General features: G+C 37.8%; 1 protein-coding gene across 19 annotated transcripts in view, besides 1 other annotated feature; it reads right to left on the bottom strand.

Annotated features, from left to right (window-relative positions):
- Positions 1 to 26521, bottom strand: part of PPP1R12B (protein phosphatase 1 regulatory subunit 12B) — a 244004-nt gene that overhangs the window by 78203 nt on the left and 139280 nt on the right. For 11 of the 19 annotated variants that reach the window (NM_001331029.2, XM_017001345.2, NM_001410283.1 and 8 more), the window contains 5 exons: positions 25877 to 25967; positions 21183 to 21386; positions 19018 to 19207; positions 18818 to 18930; positions 17678 to 17719 (listed from right to left, as the gene is read on the bottom strand). In NM_001331029.2, the coding sequence (NP_001317958.1) occupies positions 17678 to 17719; positions 18818 to 18930; positions 19018 to 19207; positions 21183 to 21386; positions 25877 to 25967 (640 nt within the window). Of the gene's footprint in view, positions 1 to 10046; positions 10404 to 12494; positions 12642 to 17677; positions 17720 to 18817; positions 18931 to 19017; positions 19208 to 21182; positions 21387 to 25876; positions 25968 to 26521 lie in introns of those variants that run through there. The other 8 variants (XR_001737201.3, XR_007060692.1, XR_001737195.2 and 5 more) reach the window with 5 other exon arrangements.
- Positions 5245 to 5539: an enhancer, noted in NCBI's record as "tiled region #4568; HepG2 Activating non-DNase unmatched - State 23:Low, and K562 Activating DNase matched - State 5:Enh". NCBI's record gives its function as "activates a minimal TATA promoter and a strong SV40 promoter by Sharpr-MPRA in HepG2 and K562 cells {active_cell/tissue: HepG2 | K562}" and the evidence as "EXISTENCE:reporter gene assay evidence [ECO:0000049][PMID:27701403]".

Below are 26521 nucleotides of genomic sequence, written 5' to 3'. Positions count from 1 at the left end.
CAAAGATTTCATGACGAGGACACCAAAAGCAATCGCAACAAAAGCAAAAATTGACTAGTAGGATCTAATTGAACTTATGAGCTTCTGCACAGCAAAAGAAACTATCAACAGAGTACAGACAACCTACAGAATAGGAGAAAATATTTGCAAACTATGCATCTGACAAAGGTATAATATGTAGCATCTATAAGAAACTTAAATTTACAAGAGAAAAACAAAACCCAATTAAAAAATGGGCAAAGGACAGGAACAGAGACTTTTCAAAAGAAGACATACATGCAGTCAACAAGCATATGAAAAAAAGCTCAATATCACTGATGATTAGAGAAATGCAAATCAAAACCACAATGAGATACCATCTCACACCAGTCAGAATGGCTATTAGTAAAAAGTTAAAAAAAGAAAAGAAAAGAAAAAACAAAACAAAACAAAACAAAACAAAAACCAGATGCTGGCAAGGTTGCAGAAAAAAGGAAATGCTTATACACTATTGGTGGGAGTATTCACTGTGTAAAGCAGTGTTGGCAATTCCTCCAAGAGCTAAAAGCAGAACTCTCCTTTCCAGGCTCTTTTCCTTCTTCTCTGATCATTTCCCTGTTGATCTCTTTCATAGGTACCTCTCCCCTTCTGCCATCTCAAACAGTGGTGTGCCCTGGCTCTGTTCTAAACTGTGTACTCTTTTCATAGCAGTGGCCCTCCTTAGCACCCCACAATCATTCTGATAATCGGCCTTCCCTGGGAAACATGCTCCTTTTGCTTGCCTTTGCTTCAGAGTCATTGAGACATTGAACCACAGTTACACAGTGAGTACCTCATATCCATCAGAATTCTGGGGAAGAAAAGAAGTTGGGAATCACTGCTCTAAAAGTTAACCTTGGGAAATGTATTTTTCATAGCTTAAAACTATTATCAGCAAGCTGATACCTTTCAACTCTTTATCTCTAGCCCTGGAACTTCCCTATACTTCATACCCATGTATCTAATTGCCTATAGGACATTTACTTTCTTATGTCTGATAGGTATCTTGAACTCAGCATGTCCAAAAGCAAAATCATTATCTTCATCCCCAAACATATTCTTCCTCCTGAATTCTCAATCTTATTAATGGCATATTATCTATGCAGTCATCATAATAAAAAATGAATATCATGCATTGCATTGTTCTCTATTCACAGAAGACATACCTAAATACTAGATATTCTTGTAAATATAATGAACAAGAAACAGGCTGGGCATAGTGGCTCACGCCTGTAATCCCAGCACTTTGGGAGGCTGAGGCGGGCGGATCACCTGAGGTCAGGAGTTCAAGATCAGCCTGGCCAACATGGTGAAACACCATCTCTACCAAAAATACAAAATTTAGCCAAGGATGGTGGCTCACGACTATAATCCCAGCTACTTGGGAGGCTGAAGCAGTAGAACTGCTTGAACCCAAGAGGTGGAGGTTGCAGTGACATGAGATTGCACCACTGCACTCCAGCCTGGGCACTGGAATGAGACTCCATCTCATTCCAGACCCTGCCTTCAAGGAGTTCAGTCAGTTGGCAAATACAACATAGTATGATTACCACTCCATATTAAAGATAAATTCACAGTGCTAGGGGAAACCTAGTCTGGTCCAGGGAGGGGGTCAAAGGAAGGCTTCTTAGAGGAGGTGGTGCTTAACCTAAAACATGAATATGTTTTTAAAAAGTGGAGTAGGGAGAGGAAGAGGCAGTAAAGTAAGAGGAAGAGAATTCTAGAGAATGAAAATACCATGTATGAAAGCTCAAAGATGGGAGGAGAGGAGACTGGTGAAATACTACCATATGAGCTGCCTTTATTTATTTAAAAATTTACCAAATGTAGGCACTGTGCTAAACCCTTTATATACATTATTACTGCTGTTCCTTGTATCAAGCCTACAAAACAAGGATAATAATCTCATTTTTACAGATTAAAGAACTTTCAGAGCTCAGAGAGGTTAAATTACTTTTCCAAGACCACCCAGCTAATAAGAGATGCAACAAGCTTTGAACCTAGGTCTTCTGGCTCCAAAGCCAATTCCATGCATCTTCCCAAATACCTTGGGACTGCTCTTTATGCTTTTATCATCCACATCTAGTAAAACATCAAATCCTGCTGAGTTTTCATATTTCTTACATTGTTCCATTCTCTCCACACCTACCATCAGAAACTCAGCACATTATCTTTCACCTGGACCCTAGGCTCTAATTGCTCTCTAGGTATAAAGGGGTATGTGTGTATGTATCACAATAAGTCAGATCGGCATGATCTCACTTTCACAACAAGAGATTCAACAACTGTCTGTATATGTATCATGGAAGAAATATTCCTGCTCTTTTCTAGGGTTAGCCCTGGAATATCCTAGAGCCTAGTCAGGTGACTTCTTTTCTGCTTTAATTATGCTTTTTGGTGATCTCACCCAGTCTTCTGACTCTAAATACCAGCACTAAAGCAATGACTTCCATGTCTGTATTTCTCCAGCTTTAATATCTCCCATAAAGTCCAAATTCCTAGTTGACAACTGTCTACTTGACATCTCAACTTGGATGTCTAATAGAAATATCCCTTGCCCTATTAAAATGTGAGTATTTCAGGAGGCAGAGGCAGGAGAATTGCTTGAACCTGGGAGGTAGATGTTGCAGTGAGCCAAGATCATGTCATTGCACTCCAGCCTGGCCAACAAGAGCGAAACTCCATCTCAAAAAAAAAAAAAAAAAAAAAATTGTGGTATATATACATCATGGAATACTACTCAACCATAAAAAGGAATGAAATAATGACATTCATAGCAAATTGGATGGAGTTGGAGCCCATTATTCTAAGTGTAATAACTCAGGAATGGAAAACCAAATATCGTATGTTCTCACTTGAAAGTGGGAGCTAAGCTATGAAAAAGCAAAGGCATAAGAATGATATAATGGACTTTGGGGACTCAGGGGGAAGGGTGGAATGGGGATGAGGGATAAAAGACTACATATGCCGGGCACGGTGGCTCACACCTGTAATCCCAGCACTTTGGGAGGCTGAGGCAGGTGGATCATGAGGTCAGGAGATCGAGACCAGCATGGCTAAGACGGTGAAACCCCATCTCTACTAAAAATACAAAAAAATTAGCCGGGCATGGTGGCGGGCATCTGTAGTCCCAGCTACTCAGGAGGCTGAGGCAGGAGAATCGCTTGAACCCGGGAGGCGGAGATTGCAGTGAGCTGAGATTGCGCCACTGCACTCCAGCCTGGGCGACAGAAGGAGACTCTGTCTCAAAAAAAAAAAACTACATAGTGGGTACAGTGTACACTGCTTGCATGATGAGTGCACCAAAATCTCTCAGAAATCGCCATCAAAGAATTTATTCATGTAACCAAAAAACCACTTGTTCCCCAAAATTATTGAAATAAACTTTAAAAGACTCTGCTAATATATATAATATATATTATATATTATTATATTATGATATAATTGTTATATTTATATTAATAAATTATATTTTAAATTATTGTATAAATTTGGATATAATTTATATGTATTATAAATTAATACATATAAATTATATTATAAATTAATAAATAGTATAAATATTATTATATTATATATTATATTAGTATAAATATATAATATATAATATATATATACTTGCCTGAATAAAACTTGTATTGGATAACTCCAATATCTATAATACATATCAAAAATAAATAAATAAAATGTGAGTATTATGAGGTCAGGAATTTTGTCTACCTTGTACATTTTTGCATCTCTAATGCATAGTGCCTGACATATAATGGCTCATCAATAAATATATGTTGACTGAATAAACACATGCTGCATGAGAGCAAAAGACATCCCAAATGGGACTCAATTGTCCTAGAGGGTCTTTGAGAATTTGGTACTCTGGGTTAAATGTGTATTTCGGGAGGACAGAAAGGAGTAGAGGTTGGCTCTAAGCTTCTTTAGTGTGCTACAGTTAATCCTACTCTTTAATGATTGGCCTACCTGGGATGTTAGCAATCCCTAAACATTATACCTCTAGGAACACTATCCATCAGACTTGCCTGTTAAGAAACACTTTGGAAGACCTTTACAATATAGATTTCCAGGACTTCCACCCGCTACCACCATGTCACCTCCTTATCCAGAATCTCAAGGGGAGAGGTCTAAAAACCTACATTGTAAACAAATAACCCCAGTGATTGCTACTGACAGGTTTGAAGGAGACTACTATAGAAGCTTTACCCATTAGGTTATTATAGTTGAAAATGGCTCAGCTTGCTGGATATCAGTATCTACACACGCCCTTAGCTCTAAGTCAAGAACTCCAGAAATGATACATAAACTGCCTAAATAATATTTCATTAGTTTTAGTCCAAAGTACTAGAGGTCACCAGTGATCTAAGAGAGGCCTTCTCATACAACATGTCATATATGGAGTTTTTTAAAAGTACATATTCTATAAAGGCACATCTGTGTGAACATTTATTCTCAAGAAAGGATCTGATTTTGTTTATTTGGCACAAAATTAATTATGCCATCCCATGCTCAATTCCCACACCTTATATGAGTCTTTACTGTGACATATTAATGTCAGTTTTCATCACTTTTTTCCTTAAAATTGTTGAAGAATCAGGATTTCAGCTTCTCTTCCCCCACATCCATCCCTCCTAACTATCATTTCAAGCAAGCACAGGGTCATCACTTTGAAGATTTCTGTCATCCCCTCCACAAATCCCCAAAATGTTTTTCCTGCACATATTCAGTAGACTAAGCGTTGACAAGGCAAAAAGACTAGTAAATTCCATAATCTACTCCTAATTAAGGAATTCAAATGACAACAAGCAATTAAAGTGAATGACAGCAACTAACAATCTTCTGACAGGCACTCTTCCAAGAACCTGTGAGCCTTAAAGGCAAATTTACTTACGGTCATAATCTACAAAAGCTAAATTTCAAGTATTAAGTGATTATATATTCCCAACTATAATCTTAGCTAACCTCAAAGACTGGTCCTTGGGAAGTAAGAAGGAATAGGATCAGATGAGAAAAACAGATAGGGACACGCTAGGAGAACCATTTCAGACTTTCTCCTCAAAAGGTAATGAACTAAAACATAACAGAGAGACTATATTTAAAATGACATGGAAGCAACTCCCCCTCTCTCCTTCACTTTCTCATTCAGGAAGTTTTACAGCTTGCTTCCTGCTGCATGACCAAAACTCATTAATGCTGCCCCAAACAACATTTATCCCTCTAAACACATGATGTTCCCCAACAAACTGTTGCTGATAACAAAGAATCGGGAATTGGCACAATGCTGAGTTATCAGAGAAGTGCTTGGATGAGAGAAAATTGACATTTGGAGTTATGTTGACATTAGCAAATACTTTTTCTATCAGTAACCTAGAGCAGAGGCCAGCAAACTGCAGCGTGGCCTGCAGGCCAAATCCAGTCCACCGGCCTGCTTTTGTAAATAAAGTTTTATTGGAACATAGTCACTCCCATTTAGTTACATATTGTCTGTGGCTGCTTTCCCATTACAACAGTGGAGTTCAGTCATTGCAACAGATTACGTGGCCAGTAAAGTGGAAAATATTTACTATCAGGCCCTTTTCATAAAAAGTTTGCGGACCTAGAGCATCACGTGCCAAAGATGAAGTGAGGCTGCTACCACTGTCCCACCACCAACATGTTCTGCCGGAGAATAGGTATAAACATCTGCTTTCCCTATCAGCCTCAGAAAGGCAGAGTGTTGACTCTTCACAACAGCCAGCAAGTAGTAGCTATACCAGACATTTCGAGAAATGAGAAATACAGCATTCAGTCACCATAAACAGCCCCATGTTTCGCCCATTTGGCATATCACTTTTGAAAGTCCTCCAACTCCTAAAATGCCATCTTAAAGTATACAATGTTTTATTTGGTGACATAATACTCAAACATGTTGTTTGCCTTTAAAATGCTTCTGTTTCCTGAAAAAATTTTTCAGAAACATAACAAGAGCTATAAGCTCCAAGACCATAATAAGTACTTGTATTATGTATTATGCTAGGTATTAATTTGCCAATGGATTTTTAAAACTTCCCTGCTTTCCTCTTGGTAGCCAATAATACTGACATAGTTTAAGGTGTAAGAGTTCAGGTTGTAATAAAACATTTTTAAAAATTTAAACTATAAAAAAGTTAAGAGTTTCTTAAAAGTACATATTCTATGAAGGCACATCTGTGTGAACATTTATGTACCTTAAAGGATCATACTAGGTTACAAAACTATGGTTTCTCTACGAAGAGATTCATGTCACTAAATGGCTGCTATCTGATCCTTGAACTTGCTTTACTGAAGACTGAGACAGTATGGAGAAAAGTTAAAATTGGGAGGTGGTGGCCATTCATCTTTACATTTTTACAAGCTTTATACAGGAAGCTTTACAGCTTGGGATAGGTAGTCCTACTATCCTACCTTTGAGATTCTACCAAAATAACACTTCTAAAGGTAACGTCTGTTAGTGCCTTAAGCTCAACATTCCTGCTGGGGCAAATCTATAAACATTCCATTTGCTGAAAAAGGACTTCAAATCCCACATCAAGCTTTCTACCTCAATCATGGGGCTAGAACTCTAACATTAGCTAAGCCTAAGCCATGGTTAAGGCTCTCCAGCCATGCTATCAACAGGAGAAATGAATACTTCTGTAACCGAGGTAACTCTTAGACTCCAACTGAAAGAGAAACAATTATTCCTGGGGCTGTCTATGATCAACGCCATCATAGGACTACTTTGATAAAAGAGTTGAACCCAAGTGCTTTGAAGACAACCTTATAAAATTGTCATCATAGTAATGATGGTGTCCCAGGAATGCTCAAGTTGACAATGATCCTTTTCTAAAGAATGTCATTAGTTGGTTTTGAATACGTTTTTTAAAAAGAAAAACTTTGGAAAAATACCAGCAGGAAATTCACTAGAATGTTAATAATTTCTTCTGAAAAGTATAGTTATGGATGGTTATGGACAATTTTTTCTTAGCTTTCATAGCTGAAACAATCCCTTTTCATAACAAATATTTTTAACACCCCCTTACTATCCTGAAATAAAAATCACTGATATAAAACTAAAATCATTTTAAAAATAACAGAATATGAAGAAGAAATAAAGAGCAAAGCACTTTATAATAAAATATGTATTTTAATGTGTTAATGCTTGGGCCAGTAAAGTAGAAGGCATAAAGAAGCAGTCAGAGATTTGGATGCATCATATAGTTACCATGAAGGCAGAGGTTAAATGCAGATCTACAGAACGTGTAGCATGATGTACGCATTATGTAAGTGGCATTGCTGTCAGGGATAAATAAAACTAAGAGCAGTTTCTCCTCATTTACATGGTGGTTGAATTTTTAGAACTGTCTTCCTCCCCACTGCCCCTCAAAAATGAGCTTAAACATAAAATCAAGTTTGGTTTTAGACTCAGATAACTGATAGGTTTTCATCTATGACTGTCAAGGGAGACAGTCAAAAGTCAAGCAAGCTTCAGGATACTTGTTTGATATGGGGCATTTTAGGATATCTAGCATCTCTCACCCTTTCCACTTAATGCATGCAGAACATCCCCCATCGCTGTATTCCCTGAAAGTAGCCCTATGAATTTTTACAAACTCCTTTAGCAATTCTCCTGCTGCTTTTGAGAGCTACCACTTTATATTTTTCTATACTTCATGAATTTTCTTTAATGAAATTTACTATCTTTTATAAACATTTTTTTTAAAAAGCTCCAGCAGAGTTTTAAGCTCATCTCTGTTCCTATAATAAAAAGACATAAGGTCACAAGTCACTAACACAAACTAATATCTTGAAAGCAATTGGAGGCAGAAGAAGAAATCAAAAAAAGAAAAGGTCAAGAAGTTAACTATACTATCCTTAGTAGCTGGATAAACCTTTCACATCTTTGGATGAGATGCATGAGAGAAGTCCAAACAGATACCTCAAAGATCAATTTATTCTATCTTAAAAAAGATTTATGATTAAAGCAGAATTCACTGATGTAATGGGACACTAGGTCCAAAAATTACAGGGTCTCAAAGGAATACATGTGAGCTTTGATTACTGAGATTTCCTGGGCAACAGCACGACCTAAAATTAATAGAGTCCATAAAAGGAAGATGCCAAAAGAAACTTTGTTCTTAAGATGGTTTATACAGCTTGGGCTACAGCAAGACACAACCCATATATAGAAAATCACAGCATCTGCAGTATTTTAAGAAACTATAGTTGCAAAGCAAGAGCAAATGTACAGTGAGAGGAAAGATCCTTCGAGGCCAATGTGGAGTCAACCACTAGAGAAGATTCCTCAGTGCATGCTGGATAACAGGCAGCTTCCCACATACAGAGTTGGTTGGCTGCCATTTCTCAGTCTCTATCTTTTTCCCTGGGACTGCGCATCGTCATCAATTGCAGAAATCCAGGACAGCTTGCTTTTCTACACGTGGAATGCCTGCCAATTCCCAGAGGCTGGCTACCACAGGACTGTTTATAACAGCCATTGCTTATCAAGTTTACCCTTACTTTTATATCCTTATGAACATTATCATGTTATCAAATTTCTCAGACTTTTCAAAACCCTTTCATTCTGGGGACGAGCTATCTTTCCCTTTTAAAAAAAAAAATCTGCCTAAACAGGTTAAGAGGAGAAAAATCTATATTTTATTATCTCTTTAAGTCTGTTAAAAGCAACAGAGGCTTGCTTAAAAAATAGATTTTGGTTGTTATGTAATATACTGCAAAAAAAAATATTACTTTACTACATAAATAACTATTAGATAGCTCACCTACCATGTCTTTAAACTTAGACAAACTGTTGTTCTAACTCCACAGCGCAATCTTGTCTGGGAAATACCTTACCATATTAGGCAATCGAGCCCCAGAGAGAGAGGAAAACAAAACAGACTTAGGATTTTACCTAAAAGGAGAATGGCAAAAATACTGACTGGTGGTGGAGAGTGGACAGAAAGTTGCTGGATACCCTCCAGCAGATAAAGTGGTTTCACAAGATTAAAAAATTCTGCTCGAGAGAAAGGATCCAGCAAATAGCCAGAAGCAACGCTGTGAAAAATTGGAGAAAAAGGGCTGCTATTTACTCAAAGGAAGAAGGTGGGAAAAAATAGTAAAGATCTCTGAAACTAGGACTGTTGGAAGCACTGGCAAAGAAGCATAAATGGGATGGGTTATTTAGGCATAAAAATGAAAGCCTGCTTGCTTGACAGAGAAGCTGCAGGGACTTGACTTGATCAGATGCTTAACAGGTTCCAAACACAATTTGAAACATTTAGTTCTTGTTCCTTTCCTTTCTACTCATTTCTTTCCCCCTACTTCAGCAATCTCCTTTAAACCTTATTCCTCAAAATTCTTCAGTTATGTGTCAGAACACATGTTGGAGTTATAGAAGATTTGGGGCTACTTCTGTGACTCTCCAAATAATCCATTCTTTAAGGATAAATTAATAACTTCAAAATCATGTGATCCTAAGGCCAATAAAAGTATTCCGAAAGCCTTACTCTCATCCAGATGTAGGAACTTGTAGATTTGGAAAATAATTTAAATGGATTGTAATCATCTCTATTTAAATGTATTAGCTCATTTTCATTTCACAACTCTAAGAGGTAGACTATTATTATCCCTACTTTACAGATGAGGAAACTGAGGCATACAAAGGTTAAATAACCTATCCAAAGTAGTTAAATGGTTAAGCTGGGGTTAAATGCAGGGAGTCTAGCTCCTGGGTGTGTCCTCTTAACTATTATGCTATATTATTTGTCATAACAGTATGTAATATGATATAAGAGATATAACAGATATAAAGATACAAATTTGGAAGGTAGTGCAACAGCTGTGCACTAGGACTACAACTATGTGACACTAGCAAGGTACTTAATCTCCTGGGCCTCAGCTGTTAACTTTAAAATGACAGTGTTAACTAGGTGACCTTTAAAGTATTTTTTAGCTTTAAATTTAGTCTGTAACTGTCATTCTAGCCACCCCAGAGAAATCAAATTTTAATATACAGTAACAACTTTTAGGTGTTGTTTTATTTCTAATAAAAGTTTTTCCAAGAGTCTTCTTTTTTTGGGGGGGACAGGGTCTCGCTCTGTTGCCCAGACTGATGTGCAGTGGTGCGATCTTGGCTCACTGCCACCTCCGCCTCCCGGGTTCAAGCGATTCTCATGCCTCAGCCTCCCGAGTAGCTGGGATTACAGGTGGGCGTCATCACACCCAGCTAATTTTTGTATTTTTAGTAGAGATGGGGTTTCACTGTTGACCAGGCTGGTCTCGAACTCCTGACCTCAAGTGGTCCATCTGCCTCGGCCTCCTAAAGTGCTGGGATTACACGCGTGAGCCACTACGGCCGGCCTCAAGAGTCTTCTTAACTGAAATTGAAGTGACATTTATTCAAAGATGTAATAGAGCTGAAGAAAATTTGGCAAAGGAGACCAAGAGGTAAGTTAACAGATCATTTGCAGACATGGTAATTAATAGAATCCCTCTGATGTAGTAAGAAGAGTCTTATGACATCCCTGGACTTCAAAGGCCTCTAGACAAGGTTGCAGAAAGGAAGCAATTTCTAGCTCAAAAGACACCAGAAGATGCCCTGGAATGTCCAGGTCTCCTATACCATTGCATGGTCCATTTATAAACAGACTGAGCAGATTTCATGGGAAATAGCCCTTGAAAAAAAAAAAAAGGTAAAATAAGAACAATGATAAAACTGCCTATTGTTCCATGTGTTTTGTTTGATTTCGTTTTGGAAAAAGGGGGAAACTGCATCCATATTCTCAGGGTCAGGTACCAGGATTGCTCAGTTTCCTTTGCTGATTCTTCCCCTTCTCCTCAATTTGAATTTCGGAGTGCTCCAGGGCTCTTTCGGCCTCTTCTCTGTCTACATTCATTCTCTTCGTGGTCACATTCAATCTCATGGTTTTAAAATCCAATCTTTAGGTTTACTGATATCCAAGATGTAGTTCCAGCTTGGCCCTTAAACCTGAATTGCAGATTCCTACATCTAACTGTCCTCTTGACATTTCCATGTAGAAATATGTCAATCAGACCTATTAGATTTAACAATTCTAAAACCAAAACCAAATGTCTACTTTTCCCCCACCAAATGTATTCTGTATTCTTCCTGTAGTATTCTCCATCTCAATTAATAAAATTCCATGCTTTTAGTTGCCTTAGCTAAAAAGTCTTAGTGTCAACCTTGACCTTCTGTTTTCTCACCTGATATCCAAGAAAACAGCAAATCTCATTGGTTCTAACTTCAAAATATATCCTGAATATGACAACTTCTCAGCATCTTTACTGCCTGCTATTATCCTGGTACAAACCACCGTCAGTTTTCTCCTGGATTACTGTATTATAATGGCCTCCTAACTGATGTCCCTGCTTCCACCAATGTCCTCCCAGAGTACATTCTCTAAAATAGCAGGCAGTAATCCTTTAAAATATAAATATAATCATGTCACTCTTGTGCTCAAAACTACAAAAGCCAAAGTTCTTATAATAACTTATCAGTCGATGCCATTTGGCCTGCTTGCACATTCCACTGTAGCCACATTGATTTTTTTTAACCTGTCCTCAAGCATGCCAGACACCTATCTTAGGGTCTTTGCAATTGCTATTCCCTCTGTCCATAACACTCTACCCCTACATATCCACATAGTTTCCCACCTTGCTTCCTTTAAGACTAGGCTTAAATCATATTTTCTCAGTAAGGCCTATCCTGACCACCCTACTTATAATGTCAACCTCCTTCCATGTTGGCACTTCTGATTCCTCCTTAGCCTACTCTATATGGTTTTTCCATAGCACGTATCACCTTTTAACATAGTATTTACTTTATATATTTATTTTGTCTGTCTCCCCCACTAGAATGTAAATTCCGTAAGAGCAGGGCTGTTTGTTCATTGTTGCATCCCCAGAATCTAGAAAAGTGCTTGATCATAATCGGCGCTTAAAAGCACTTGTTGAATTAAGATGCTTACAAAAGTGAAGGCAGGACAAAATGGAAAATGCATTTAGTGGCTTCTGGTATATTTCTATTTATTTCTATGGCATTTATTTTCTGTTAAAGTTCAAAACTCAGCTCTGCTAGCAAATTCCAATTGTGTTCTTTCATGTAGTTTGAAAACCTTGCATTTAATAGCTTAACTCTTTTAGAAGACTTTTACCAACAGATCTCTCCACGAGCATACCCCCAGTTATCTAAGGCAGGTACCTTGATATCTATAATTTAGTAACTCTTTAACACTATCTCCTTTACCAATCAGTTTTGAGGGATGACTAGTAATCCAGACCTACTGATTGCATTCTGGATGGGGACAGCTACATTGCTAACTTTGAGGGTAAGGTTTCAGTGATTTTGTTCAGATTGAGTGCCACCTGATTTATCTAAAAGCAATAGAGATTCTAGGGGAAAAGAAAAGTATGAAAAGTCTTACTTCCTGACATACATAACTACCCACCTATGTCAAGGACAGCAGAAGAATGCTGATGCTCTACCCACTGAATCTTGATACTCTGAGTAGGCTTTTAAGTTGTCCTTCAAGAAGACGTTCCTTCACTCAAGGAGGTGAGATGCTACTAGCAAGTCAATTCGAACATGTAACCTGCTGAGTAAAAAAACCAAATGGATGAATAAGGAATAGAAAAGGATGTAAGTCCTAATTTCAGGTTTGCTTCACTACAGTCAAACAAAGAGGTTCCCTGAAAAAAGGTACAGGTTGCTCACCTAGCAGAGATGTCATGCCCAAATAATTCTTAATTTCTCTGAGCCTCAGTCTTCTTAACCATAAAATTGGTTCCTAATCCAAGATATCTCTAGATTCTCTTCCAATCCTATGATACCAAAAGTTGGGAGGCAAGTACCTTTACTACATTGAACCCGGTCCTTCAACAATTCCTTAAAAACAAAGGCAATTTGTCTTCTGCTCAGCTTTAGGGCACCATTCTGCCTGCTCACCAATATCTTTTCTGTTGACCACTTGTGCCCTCTAGTGATAAATTCAATTATACAACAGGATTGGCTTGGAAAACAGCTCCAGAGCAAACAGGGAAAACAGTAAGAAAGCAATAGATAAAACTCAATGTAAAGAAAATGGAATCCAGGCCAAAGATGCAGGTAAAAAAAGATAGAAATATCCAAATGGTCATTATCTTCTGTGGCGTACCTATGCTTGTTCCCTCCAGGGCAAACATTCTATGTGATTACTACTATAGTAAAGAAAACAGCAAACACACTGCTGAATATAAAAGCATTTTCAGATATAATTAGAATAACCCTATTCCTCAAATTAAGATGCAGATTATTTTTCATTCAGAAAGACAAAGGATCTATTAAGATTCTCAGAGACTGTCATATACCTAACGTGGATAAACAAAACAGAATTGTTTTTAAACACATCTGTCAAGGAGGTGCTAAGATGTCAATTTTACATATTCATTGTTAGTTTCACTGGTTCATGGATTTACCAGTGGAGATGGGTTCAGACTAAAACTATGCACTATGTTGGGCTTAAGTAGGGTCCCCAGCCTTCTAAGCATGTTCCTTGCTGTCCCCAGCATAGCAATGCATGACTAGTCTATCACATACTCTCTTTTTAAAAATTTTAAATTGATGCATTATAATAGTACGTATTTATGTGGTATGAAGTGATATTTCAATACATATATGCAATATGTAATGATCAAATCAAGGTAATCAGCATATCTAGCATCAAAAATAATTTATGTTAGGAACATTCAAAATCCTCTTTTCTAGCTATTTGAAAATATACAATAAATTATCATTAACTATATTCACCCTTTAGTGCTATAGAACACTAGAACTTATTCCCCCTACCTGTAATTTTATATCTGTTAACCAACCTCTGACTATCTCCCTTTTCCAGACTCCAGTAACCACAGTCCTACTCTCTACTTCTATGAGCTCAACTTTTTAAGATCCTACATATGAGAGAGAACATGAGGTATTTATTTTTCTGTGACTGACTTATTTCACCTAACATAATGGCTTCCAGGATCATTCATGTTGCTGTGAATGACATAATTTCATTTTTCTTTATGGCTAAATAGTATTCCACTATGTACATATACCACATTTAATTTATCTGTTCATCTGTTAATGGACATTTAAGTTGATTCCATATCCTAGCTATTGTGAATAGTGCTGCAATAAACATAGGGGTGCAGATATCTCTTTGAAAGACAGAGAGACAGTGAGAGTGAGAGAGAGAGAGAGAGAGAGAGAGAGCAAGAGAGAGAGACAGCGAGAGCACCAAATCCTAACCACTAGACCACCAGGGAGCGTCATCTCTTTGATACACTGTTTTTCTTTCCTCTGGATAAATACCAAGTGGTGGGACTGCTGAATCATATGGTAGTTCAATTTTTAGTTTTTGAGGAACCTCCATACTGTTTTCCATAATGGCTACACTAATTTATATTCCCACCAATAGCGTATTAAGAGTTTCTTTTTCTCTATATCCTCACCAGGTTTTGTTATTTTTTGTCTTTTTGATAACAGCCATTCTAACAGGTCAGATGATCTATTTCATTGTGGTTTTGATTTGCATTTCTCTGACCAAATATTCTATTGATAGCAAACATTATGGCCATTCCTGGCCATAAATCTTACCTGTATATAAATGTTGGTTACATTTTTCTTGGTATATAAAAAAGGAAATGAACTTCAATGACCTCAATAGAGATTTAGTTTAAACAACAGAAAGGTCTTAAACCACGTTGTTGTCACTGCTATACAAGTGAAGTATTAAACAATCTTCTTTTGAAATCTTTAAGAAGGGGGGAAAAACCATAGATATTTTGAATCATTTAGGTCTAACTCTGACTGGAGGCATAAGATAAAGATAATAACCGTTGAAGCTTCCTTTCTACCATTAAAATTAAATATTATTGGCTGGGCATTGTGGCTCATGCCTATAATCTCAACATTTTGGGAGGCCAAGGCAGGAGGACTGTTTGAGCCCAGGAGTTCGAGACCAGCCTGGGCAACGTGGTGAAACCCCATCTCTAGAAAAACTCCAAAAATTAGCTGGGTGTGGTGGCTTGTGCCTGTACTCCCAGCTACTTGGGACACTGAGGTAGTAGGATCACTTGAGCCTGGGAGGTTGAGGCCGCAGTGAGCCATGACTACATCACTGCACTCCAACCTGGGCGAAAGAGCAAGACCCTGTCTCAAAAAAAAAATTAAATATTACTGCTGGTTGATTTCTATCTTTTCCATTCAATTCTCTGTCCTGAGAGGCAACCACTCTTCTGATTTCTATCACCATAGATTAGTATCACTTATTCTTGAGCGTTAATGATGAAACGTTTTAAGGTGATGGAAAAGTTCTATATCTTGATTTGGGTAGTGGTTATACTGGTACATACAAGTGTCAAAACCCAGCAAACAGTATATTTAAAATCTGTGCATTAATTGTAAATTATATTTCAGTTAAAAAAAAGCCAAGATATTAGAGTCTTGGGAAGAGATAACTTTAAAAATAATAGATATTATAATTCTCAAGGAGTGGACTAGGTAAGAGAAGGAAGCCAGCATGACCTCAATAGCAGATATAGTTTTATTGAACTAAAAACCAAGAAAGGAAAGAGCTGCCCTGGGCTTCTCAACTGTATCCATGCTGATTAGCTAACAGCACCATTTCAATGGAATGCCCTCCGCTTTAACTGGCTCATTTGTTGTTGCAGAGCTGAGTCAACTGTACTGCCTGAAGGATGAAAATGGAGCTGGGGTAGAGAGGTGGTCATAAGATACTACTGATTGTCTTGAAATAGAAATGTAGGAATTTACACTAGGCCATGACCAGGCATGTGGCTCTGTAGGCCCATATAGATAATGGCATCATGCCTGCTAGCATTAGGAGAGAGTGCTCAAGGGAGAAAAACAGTTAAGAATTTAACTGAAAGAAATGAAACAAGCAAATATAAGACTTTTACAAAAAGGATGCCTCACCCTATGCTGATTCATTATCGGCCTTTCTTCCTGCACTATTAGCGAGGCTGGAGATTGGCACTTGGAATATATTTCTTATAGCAACCTTAGCTTATCTGCATAAATTCAAATGTACCAGTCCACAGATAATGGGCTGTTTATTCTTTTTGATTCACATTGTTGTTTTCCTGACACATGGTAAACACTAGTAGATGCCTTATGCAATTGGATGTGTGGAGTATTTTTTAGTCTGACAAATGCCTTTCACATCAAACTGCAACAGTCTCTGCTTTTCTTCATACTTTCAAGTCAACAGTCCTAAAGTAAAATTCCCTAGGAAGTACTGCATCAAGATCATCTTAATTTTCCTTACTTGGTACCCTCTAGGCTAGGATTTTCCAGTGCCAAGAAGTTTAGAAAAGTAGAGAATAGAATTTTCACTGGCAAAAGACATTCTTATGACAACAAAGCCTTCCCTTTTGCAATTCCCTGGATTTAAATGGCCTATGTAATTCTGTATGGATAATGTTCCATTTCAGTACTCTATAATCTATAACTCAGATCCTCTGAGTTATATTTCCTGAGTTATATATGCTTTGAGTTATAATTCCCCAAAGGAACTTTCCTATATTCACTCTTCCTATCTCCAAAAGCCTTTCCAAGCCCCTTGAAGAAACTAAGAGTTGCTATAATTCATACACATACACACAGGCACACACTCGTGCCCCAAGGAACCTCTATATACTATTTCCACACCACATAGCTTGCCTTTATGAAGTAGCCCCAGCTTCAACCAAGGGCAGGCAATTCTCACCTATGTCACCGTTAGTCATTAAAGGCACTACTTTCTAGAAGGCTACTATTGTCTGTTTTGGATCTAGACAAAAATATAGGCAGATCAATGACAATATATTATTTATATCTTCTCTGCTAAAGATGAGTTAGATGTTAATTTTCAGTACAGGTTATTAAATATACTCTGAAAACATACTTCCAATAAGTTGTAGGATACAAAAGGTCATCTTTTTACATAATTTCAATAGAAAAGCACATGTATTTCAATTAATTTAGTCAGAACCAAATTCCTTCCTTCTTGGAAAACAGTACTAAAAAGAAAACCACCACCAATCATGTCTGAGTGGCTTACAGGAGCCTGGAGTATCTTCAGAAAAGCTGAACTTAGGCCTTTCACTGCAGGGAAGAGTTGGATGTCAGGCCTTAAAAGGGCAGAGTTATGTAAGATGCCAGATGTTTAATCTTATCTCAAAGTCAAATATAAATGACTTGGGGACTGTCTGATGTTTTACATTCTCCACATTTATGTCCCTCTCTATTAGTGCGGATCCAAAAAGGAACTGGTATCACTCTTCACTTTTCATTCAAAGATTTCAAAGTACTTCATATAATCCAATAACATACAAGAGAGAAAATGATGGATCCTATAACAGTGTGAAAGACTGGCAGTAGGCACAGAAAAATGTAGGAAACTGCTTCAAGAGCACAGGCACTGTTACACCACATGAGAAAATAGTACCACAAACTAACACCTGCCCCATCTCTTAGAGGAATGTCTATCTCCAAACTCCTTCTCAACTAAAATCTGCATTAAGTCTTGCCCTTTCTTCTACTAAAATTACATACAAGAGCAAGACTGTGCTCTCAAGAGACATGCTTCACTGGCTTGTCACTTACCCACGTTTCTTTGACCTCTTCAGAGCCATCAGTTTCATCCTCCTAAAAAAGAAAAGGGAAGAAAATCAAGAGGCTCATTGTCACAGACATCCTTGAAAGCAACAAGGTCAGATCCCATCAATTATGCATCTTGGCATTTCAAACATGGGCAATGAGAATTGACTTCCAAGTGATGCTCTGTTACTGCTACTTTTCACAGCCATCACAGGCAGGCAACTTAGAAATGTCACCTGTAGTCTAAAAAGTCAAATCAACCACAGTTGGAAAAGGGATATCTTTAAGACAGACAGACAAGACAGACAGACTTAATTTCATCTTTGTCAATACTTATCAGTCAATTTAGCCCTAAAACAATGAAATATTTTTATCTAAAAAATAATTTATAATGAATGACTACTACTGTCTCATTTCTTGTCTCACTGAATAAAGTGTGTCCAATTTTCAAAGGAGTCATTGGTAGGCAGGGTCGTCTTGTCCAAGTTATTGGCCACTTGTTCTTTAAAATGCCAATAACAAGGTTGAATGAGAAGGCTACAGAACAAGATATGGAAGAGGATGAATGGAACTACTGATTGTGTATTTGTAGTTAGTAAACATTGGCATATCTGTCTTTATTTTAAAGCCAAAGTTCATCTATTTTATGTTATTTGTTCCACTTTTTCTCTAAAACAGTAAAACTAAGTGAACTTGTATTACTTAGAGGTTTTAAGTTCCTTGAACTTCCTGTAGTACTCCTACAATATTTAGTTAGAATCTCTGCTCATATGTGGCATTAAGATATTGTTGACTCACTACATGACATTCAGGGAATATTAGGAAGGACTACTAAAACTCGACAAGCTTATTCACTTGTTATATTTGTTTATATGGCTGTTGTATATTTCCAGTTTTTTAATTCTTTGCCAATTATTTACTGAGTGCCTACCATGTGCTTAGCACTGTACTAGATACTGGGAATCTAGCAGGAACATACCAAATGAGTCCCACACTAGTTAGGTCTTTCTTCTCTTTTCCTCAGTAATACTTCCTGAGAAACTGCAAGATTCATGGCACCATGCGGGACTCTTTCTTTTAAACTCAACTGAAAGAATGGTGACCAAGAGTAATATGATATGCCTCAGCACAGACCAATCCACTTACATCCTTTGTCCAGAAATTGATGCCTGTGCCTCTTCGTCGTTCCTTGGGCCGCCTCCTCTCTCGGATGGACAGCCTCTTAGAGGACTGCTCATCCAAATCTGCTTCTTCATTCTCTGGCCAGAGATAAAATAAAGTATGAACTTTAAGAATCTGGGGATGTGCACTGTGGAGGGGCCTGTGTCTTTTGAAGTTCTACATACCATTTTTGTCCATTTCCTTTGCAGTTGTAGTGTTTGTGGTAGTCTCTGAACTCTCAGAATCAGGGACTGAAAATCTATTTGTCCATAGCAGGTGGGAACTGGTGTAGAGTGAGGGTCTTGACGTAGAAGGAGATGCTGGCGTGGTGGGTTTGTCTGGCTGAGCTGGGCACCTCAGGCGATGACAGATAGGCTGGAAATAATCCACAATATGAGATATTAGAAATCAAGTCCATCTAAAGAGTAAGGACAGCAGGTTTATACAAAATGTTTTTTTCTATATTAAGGGGCTTATGAGTAGATGATGATCAATATTGAGTACCTGGTAATAGGCACTCAATAAATGAACTAAGCTAAAGTTAGTTAATTAGACAAAAAAAAAAAAAACACAGCTGCTAGACTCCTACTCTGAGAATCCCATCATGTTGAGAGCAGTTCAAGCAAATTATTCATCAATTAACCAAAGGGTACTAGATAGCATTAACCATGTAAAAAAAATTCCTTTGATCTTGGAATGAAAATAAGAATGATGGCCTTTTTAAGATGGAGGGCTGAAAGGCAAGGTTTATGTAGGGAAACAAAAAGATCAGGAGCATGAAGAAGCAGAATGTAGGGATTACCTGAGAACAGAGAATAAATGTGAGTATCCTACCGAGTTCTGAATACTCTACCACCTTGCCATAACCAGGCTTACTGAAACTTTCTAAAGTTCCCATTTTCCTTTTTGTAGTTTTGTTTTGTTGTTGTTGTTTTCTTTTCTTTTCTTTTCTTTTTTTTTTTGAGACGGAGTCTTGCTCTGTTGCCCAGGCTGGAGTGCAGTGCTGCGATCTTGGCTCACTGCAACCTCTGCCTCCTGGGTTCAAGCAATTCTGGTCTATTGTGGTCTTTTTTTTTTTTTTTTTTAAACCTGAGAATTAGGACAGATAGAGCCTAACAATAAGCCTTAACTTGGTTTATGGAAGACTCAGAGATAGATAAATCCTTACTACACATTAAATTTATGACATAGAGATTGTACACATTTTTGTGATTTATAAAGACATATACAATAAAATGTAGTAAATTTGGAGTCAGAAAGATCTTTGTTCAAATTCTAGCTTCAGCATTACTAGCTGTGACCTTGAATAAGTTACTTAGCTTCTCTGGGCCATAAATTCCTCATCTATAAAACAGAGATAACACCTTCTTCAGAGAGGATTATGAGGATTAAATTAAGAAAATGTGTGTTAGGTGCTTAGAAGAATACCTGGTAATAGGTACTCAATAAATAGTAGCTTATAAAACAAAATACAAAATAGAACTTCAGTTTATAGAATCTAGCCATTCAGAGTCAAAGCAAGAAGGAGATACCTTTCTTCTATAACCACAGTGACCATAACATTTATCAGTCCAAACTGGGACACTTTTGAGAGTGCAAAGGAGGGGTAATGATAATTACACAAAGACAACAGTTGTAATTGGAACCATCTTAGGTAAACCAGGAGTTATGTTCACCCTAAATATAAACTTATACCTTTTACTACCAACTCCACTAGAGAAATGAAACATAAATCAAAACGTCCCTCCCAACAGTGACACTCAAGAGTGCTTTGTAAGCCCCTTAGGTTTATAAGAGTTTGAAAAACAATACACTAGTAGTTAAGAGAGCAAGCTGTGGAGTCAGACTGCCTATGTTCAAACTCTGGCTTAACCACTTCTTGGCTATGTGAAATGGGCAAATTCCTTAACCTCTGTGATTCAATTTCCTCATATATAAAATAGAAATAGTAATATTTACCTCAGAGAGTTGTTATGAGGATTAAATGCATTAATACACAAGAAGTACTTAAAATAGTGCCTGGCATAAAGTAAGCATGTATTGAGTAAAGTAAACACTCAATATATGCTTATATTTTTATTTGCATTTTGTTATACTATGACCTCTCCTTTTAGACTAGAAGGACATTTATTCAAAAGCATCAGTGAACTCTCAGAAGAAAAAAATGGTCATTTAAGGACCAACATCCTCTAAATTTTTGTCACACAGGTTTGCAAACTAAAGACAGCCATACTGAGTGAGTTGTCCATTGCAAGGTAGAACACAGCCTTTGAACTACCAGTGAAGAAGATACTCCCCAAACTAATTACCCTGCTTTTAGCACAGTACATGCCAGCAAAAATGAGCTCACCTCTTCATCCAGACTCCTGCCCCAGGGCTGCTGGCCCTCCCCAGCTTCTGTTGCTGGAACTGCTGAGGGCTCATGCTTCTCAGGGCTCCCCTCAAGCCCTTCAGTGTCTGTGGGCTTCTCACGAGGCTGCTCCTGAGCTTGCCTCTCTGCCCTCGACCGGCTGAATGTCCTTTCTGCTTCTTGAAGGTCTGTTAGGGTGACACCCTGGGAAAATATCACAAGATCAGGGCTGTTTCACACTAACCATGGAATAACTCTTGATTGATCAGGAATATTCCCAAAAAGACCTAATAGTTATCAAATCCCAAAATGAAGCCCCTCAAAATGCATAATGAGGCCACTTCAAGCAATATATGCTTAAAATAAGCATCTCAGTGTACAAAGAACCCGGGCCTGAGTCTAGGTACATTTTAAATGTAATACTTTAGTTTTTCTAGTTTGATCTCCAGAAAATAGGTCAACACTGATGTCTGCCTGTTATAGATGTACTTTTTCCATACCAAATAGTTCTCAGTATCTTTATTTGAAAGGTCCCTACCCTCCCAAGATCAAATGGTTACCAACAGAGATTTCCTAAACAGCAGATACTGGGGAAAAATATTCACTTAAAAAAAGAAAAACCTGGCTCAACAAGATGAAAATTCAGAGCTAGGCTACAATAACAACAACATAACCTCTTAAAACTCCTAGACTAGCTTTTCTCTAATATCAATTCCCAAGTAACTCTAGGAATCATATAGGGATATTCCAACAATTAATGTTCCCCCCACAGTGTCACAGGGGCAGCAAGAGAGAAGACAGGCAAATGATGACAAAACTACAGGAGAAGGGAGAAAAGGAGTTTAGAAAGAGCATGAGCTGATTCCAACTCAAGTAGTTATGTGCATGAGTCCTCAGAAGAAGGAAGTTCCAAAGCTGGAAGGTAGTTAGTTGATCAGGCACTGTATCCACAACTTGCTTCCCCTCCCCACCCCCAGCTTTTTTACTATTAATTCATTTACTTACTCATTCTGTTAATAAAGAATTAGGTGTCTTTAGGCACTAGAACTACAAAGACAAATCCAATGGTTACTGTCAAGAACCTTTTAGTCTAGCAGAAAAGATGTAAGAAGACAGACGAGTATAATGAGAGAATGTAAGTATTAAAACAGAAACACAAGAGTATATAGGATGAATACCGAACACTGGGTTTTAAAGAGTAAAAAGAACTTGGGTAGGGGGAGGGAGAAAAGGCATTATAGATAGAGGGATCTTGTACAAAGATACAGAAACAAGAGAGGCCACGGATGATTTAGGAATCTGTAGGTAACTTAGCAAAGATGAAGCACACAACAAAAAAAGGAAAGTTGGAGGACAGAGAGAGAATGAGGATAGGTGATTTTAGGAAAGCAGGCAGAGGCTAGGTCATAACAGATTTTGTAAGCTATGCTAAGAAGCTTAGATTTTACTTTCTTTGGGAGTCGGTGGTCCCTTTGAGAATCTCATGAAGACTACTGAGAATCTAATAAAATCTCCTCAAAAATTATGTACACATTTCAACGAGTTCAAAGATCTATTCAAGTTTTGACATGGACCTTCACTCCCTCTCTACTGAATCTTTCCCTCTAAGACGTTTCTATGTTCCTGTCTCTCCCACCTTCAATTCTATGCCCCTCTCCAGCAACTTCCCTATCTTTTCCCATTCCTTCATAAACAAACTTGAAATCATTCCAGAGCAATTTATCTTTCCCTATCATTTATTTCCCACTCATTTTTTTATTCAATAAATATATATTGATTTATTTACTGTATGATGGTGGAAAAGATGAGCTAAAGTATAGCCTGTCTTCTTTTTCACACCCATTAGGGTGGCTATTACCAAAAAAAACAGGCTGGGCATGGTGGCTCACACCTGTAATCTCAGCACCTTGAAAGGCCAAGGTGGGTAGATCACTTGAGGTCAAGAGTTCAAGACCAGCCTGGCTAACATGGTGAAACCCTGTCTCTACTAAAAATACAAAAATTAGCCAGGTGTGGTGATGGGTGCCTGTAATCCCAGCTACCTGGGAAGCTGAGGCAGGAGAATTGCTTGAACCCTGAGGCAGGAGAATTGCTTGAACCCTGAGGCAGAAGTTGCAGTGAGCCAAGATCACACCATTGCACCCCGGCCTGCGTGACAAGAGCAAAACTCCATCTCATAAAAACAACAACAACAAAAATATTGGTGAGGATATGGAAAAATTAGAACCCTTGTGCACTGCTGATGGGAACATAAAATGGTACAGCCGCTAAGGAAAACAGTATGGCAGTTCCTCAGAAAATTAAAAATTGAATTACCACATGATCCAGCAAATTCCATTTCTCAGTATGTACCCAAAAGAATTGAAAGCAGGGTTTCAGGGAGATATTTGTATAGCCATTCTCATAGCAGCATTAAACAGCCAAAAGGTGGAAGCAACCCAATGTCCACTGACAGATGAATGGATATACAAAATGCAGTATCCATAAAAGGCTGAAATATTCATCCTTTAAAAGGGAGGAACTCTGACACATGCTATAATATGGATGAACCTTGATAACTATGCTAAGTAAAATACGACACAAAAGGACAACTACTATATGATTCTACTTATTTGAGGTTCCTAGCATAGTCAAGTTCATAGACAGAAAGTGGAAGCAGCGTTGCCAGAGGGAAATGGGGAGTAATTATTTAATGGATACAGAGTTTCAGTTTTGGAAGAGGAAGAAAGTTCTAGAGATGAATGGTGGTGATAGTTATACAACAATGTAAATGTACTTAATGCCATTAAACTGTAAACTTAAAAATGGTAAAACTGGTAAGTTTTATGTTACGTATATTTCACCACAATAAAACAAAACAAAAAAACAGTCTTGGTCCTCTTGGGGGTTACATTCTAATGGAGGAAACAGACAAATAATCATCAAGTAAAAATAAAGGAAGAATACATGACCTACTTTGGGAGAGTCAAAGAAGACAACAAGGGTGTTTTTGCTGCCATATATAATGTCTCTTTTCCAGTGGTGAAATTTGCTACTTGACCTCTGTAGTATTTAAAACTGTGGAACTTCTCCTTTTCACTGGAAATGGACTTTTCATTCACTTCCATGCTGCTACTATTTTCTGATTTTCTTTTCACCGCTCCTGCTGCTTCTTTTCGTTCTGTTTCATGGGCTCATCTTTCTTTGCTTCTTTCAATAACAAATTCATAGCCTTCTCTCCATTCTCATTGCCATTACAACTTGATTTCATACCCTTGTAATTTCCTGGGACTACAATACAACTTGGACTACAATACAGCTTCCTAGCAAGTCTTCTTGCTTCCAGGCTTGGTAAACATACCTCTACCTACCATTCCCATCAATTATCTGCAGGGTGATTTTTCTAACATATAATGTAGACTATACCATATTCCCTTAAACTGCTTCAATGACTCCCTCAGGGATTCCTTTTGTAACATCTTTATTAAAATACAATCCTCATATCATAAACCTCACCATTTGAAAGTATACAATTCCTTGGTTTTTAGTTTATTCACAGAGTTATAAAATTATCACCACATCTAATTTCATAATTTTCATCACCCCAAAAAGAAACCACATACTCACCATTCTGCCTTCCCCCCAGCCCTGGCACTAATCTAATTTCTGTCTCTTTGGATTTGCCTATTTGGGACATTTCATATAAATGGAATCATATAATATATGGAGTGTTTTGTGTCTGGCTTCTTTCACTTAGCATAATGTTTTCTTAAGGTTCATCCATGTTGTAACATGTATCAGTACTTCATTTCTTTTTATTGCCAAATAGCATGGATTTATCACATTTGGTTTACCCATTCATTAGTTAATAGACATTTGGCTTATTTTTACTTTTTGGCTATTATGAATAATACTATTACAAACACCTATATACAAGTTTTTATATGAACATATGTTTTCATTTCTCTTGAGTAGAACTGCTGAGTCAAATGGTAACTATGTTTAAAATTTTGAGGAATTGCCAAACTCTTTTCCCTTAGGGATTCTTAAAATGTAGTAGGGATATAGGGATGTATAGGGATTCTTAAGGTCTTTAAGCACAAGTGGAATAATTAATCTTGTGAAGGAAAAGAGATAAACCTGTTCTAAGCCTGGAGGAATATTGGTGAGAATGGGTAGATGTAGCTGTAAATTCATTTGGTTCTATGTAGTATAAGATTCAACACAATGAAAGCTTTTAAGACTGGCTGGAATAGGGCAGTCATTTTCATGTGTGTGTTTTGCTTTGTCTTGTTTTTTTGAGATGGAGTCTCGCTCTGTCGCCCAGGAGGGCAGTGGCGCAATCTTGGCTCACTGGAACTTCTGCCTCCCAGGTTCAAGCAATTCTCCCACCTCATCCTCCCGAGTAACTGAAATTACAGGCATGCACCACCATGCCTGGCTAATTTTCATATTTTTAGTAGAGACAGGTTTCACCACGTTGGCCAGGCTGGTCTTGAACTCCTGACCTCAAGTCAGGAATGCTCCTGGTCTCAACTCCTTGGCCTCCCAAATTGCTGGGATTACAGGTGTGAGCCACCACGCCAAGCCGTGAGCGTGTGTGTGTGTGTGTGTTTAAATCAGCAGTTGAACATGGATATTGCAGTGTGTTTTGATTGTACCTCCAACAGAAGGGTAGATACACAAAATGACATTTTAAAAAAAGCCACACTCACTTGAGTAGACCTTCGTGTCTGCCGAGCTTGTCTGGAGCGTGCTTTCCGTAAAGACTCTGCTTCCTCATCCCGTACAGGAGTCAGATAGGACCTGCAGAGAAAAAAAAGTAATAGCAAAAGCAAGATCTTTGCTGCATATACTTGAGGAATGACAAAGTGTTTCCACATATTGAAGAGATTTCTACATTCTAGGAATGAACTTAAGCAAAGTCAAAATGACAGAAATGCTATCAACCATCAGCAAACATTACAGAATCCAAGTCATTACAGTAGTTCCCCCTTATCTGTGGTTTTGCTTTCTGTGGTTTCAGTACCCATGGTGAACTGTGGTCTGAAAATATTAAATGAAAACTTCCATCAATAAACAATTCATACATTTTCAATTGTGCACTGTTCTGAATAGCGTGGTGAAATTTCATGCTGTTCCATTCTGTCCCTCCTGAGATGCAAATCATGCACTGTTGTGATATCACGGTGTTTATGTTCAAGTAATCCTTATTCTACTTAATAATGGCCCCAAAGTGCAAGAGTAGTGATGCTGGCATTTTGTTATAACTGTTCTATTTTATTATTAGTTATTAGTATTATTGTTAATCTCTTACTGTGCCTAATTATAAATTAAACTTCAGTGTAGATATGTATTTA

This window comes from Homo sapiens, chromosome 1 (genome assembly GCF_000001405.40).
Source record: "Homo sapiens chromosome 1, GRCh38.p14 Primary Assembly".
NCBI classification, from domain to species: Eukaryota; Metazoa; Chordata; class Mammalia; order Primates; family Hominidae; genus Homo; species Homo sapiens.
This window is presented reverse-complemented; position numbering and strand designations above follow the sequence as displayed.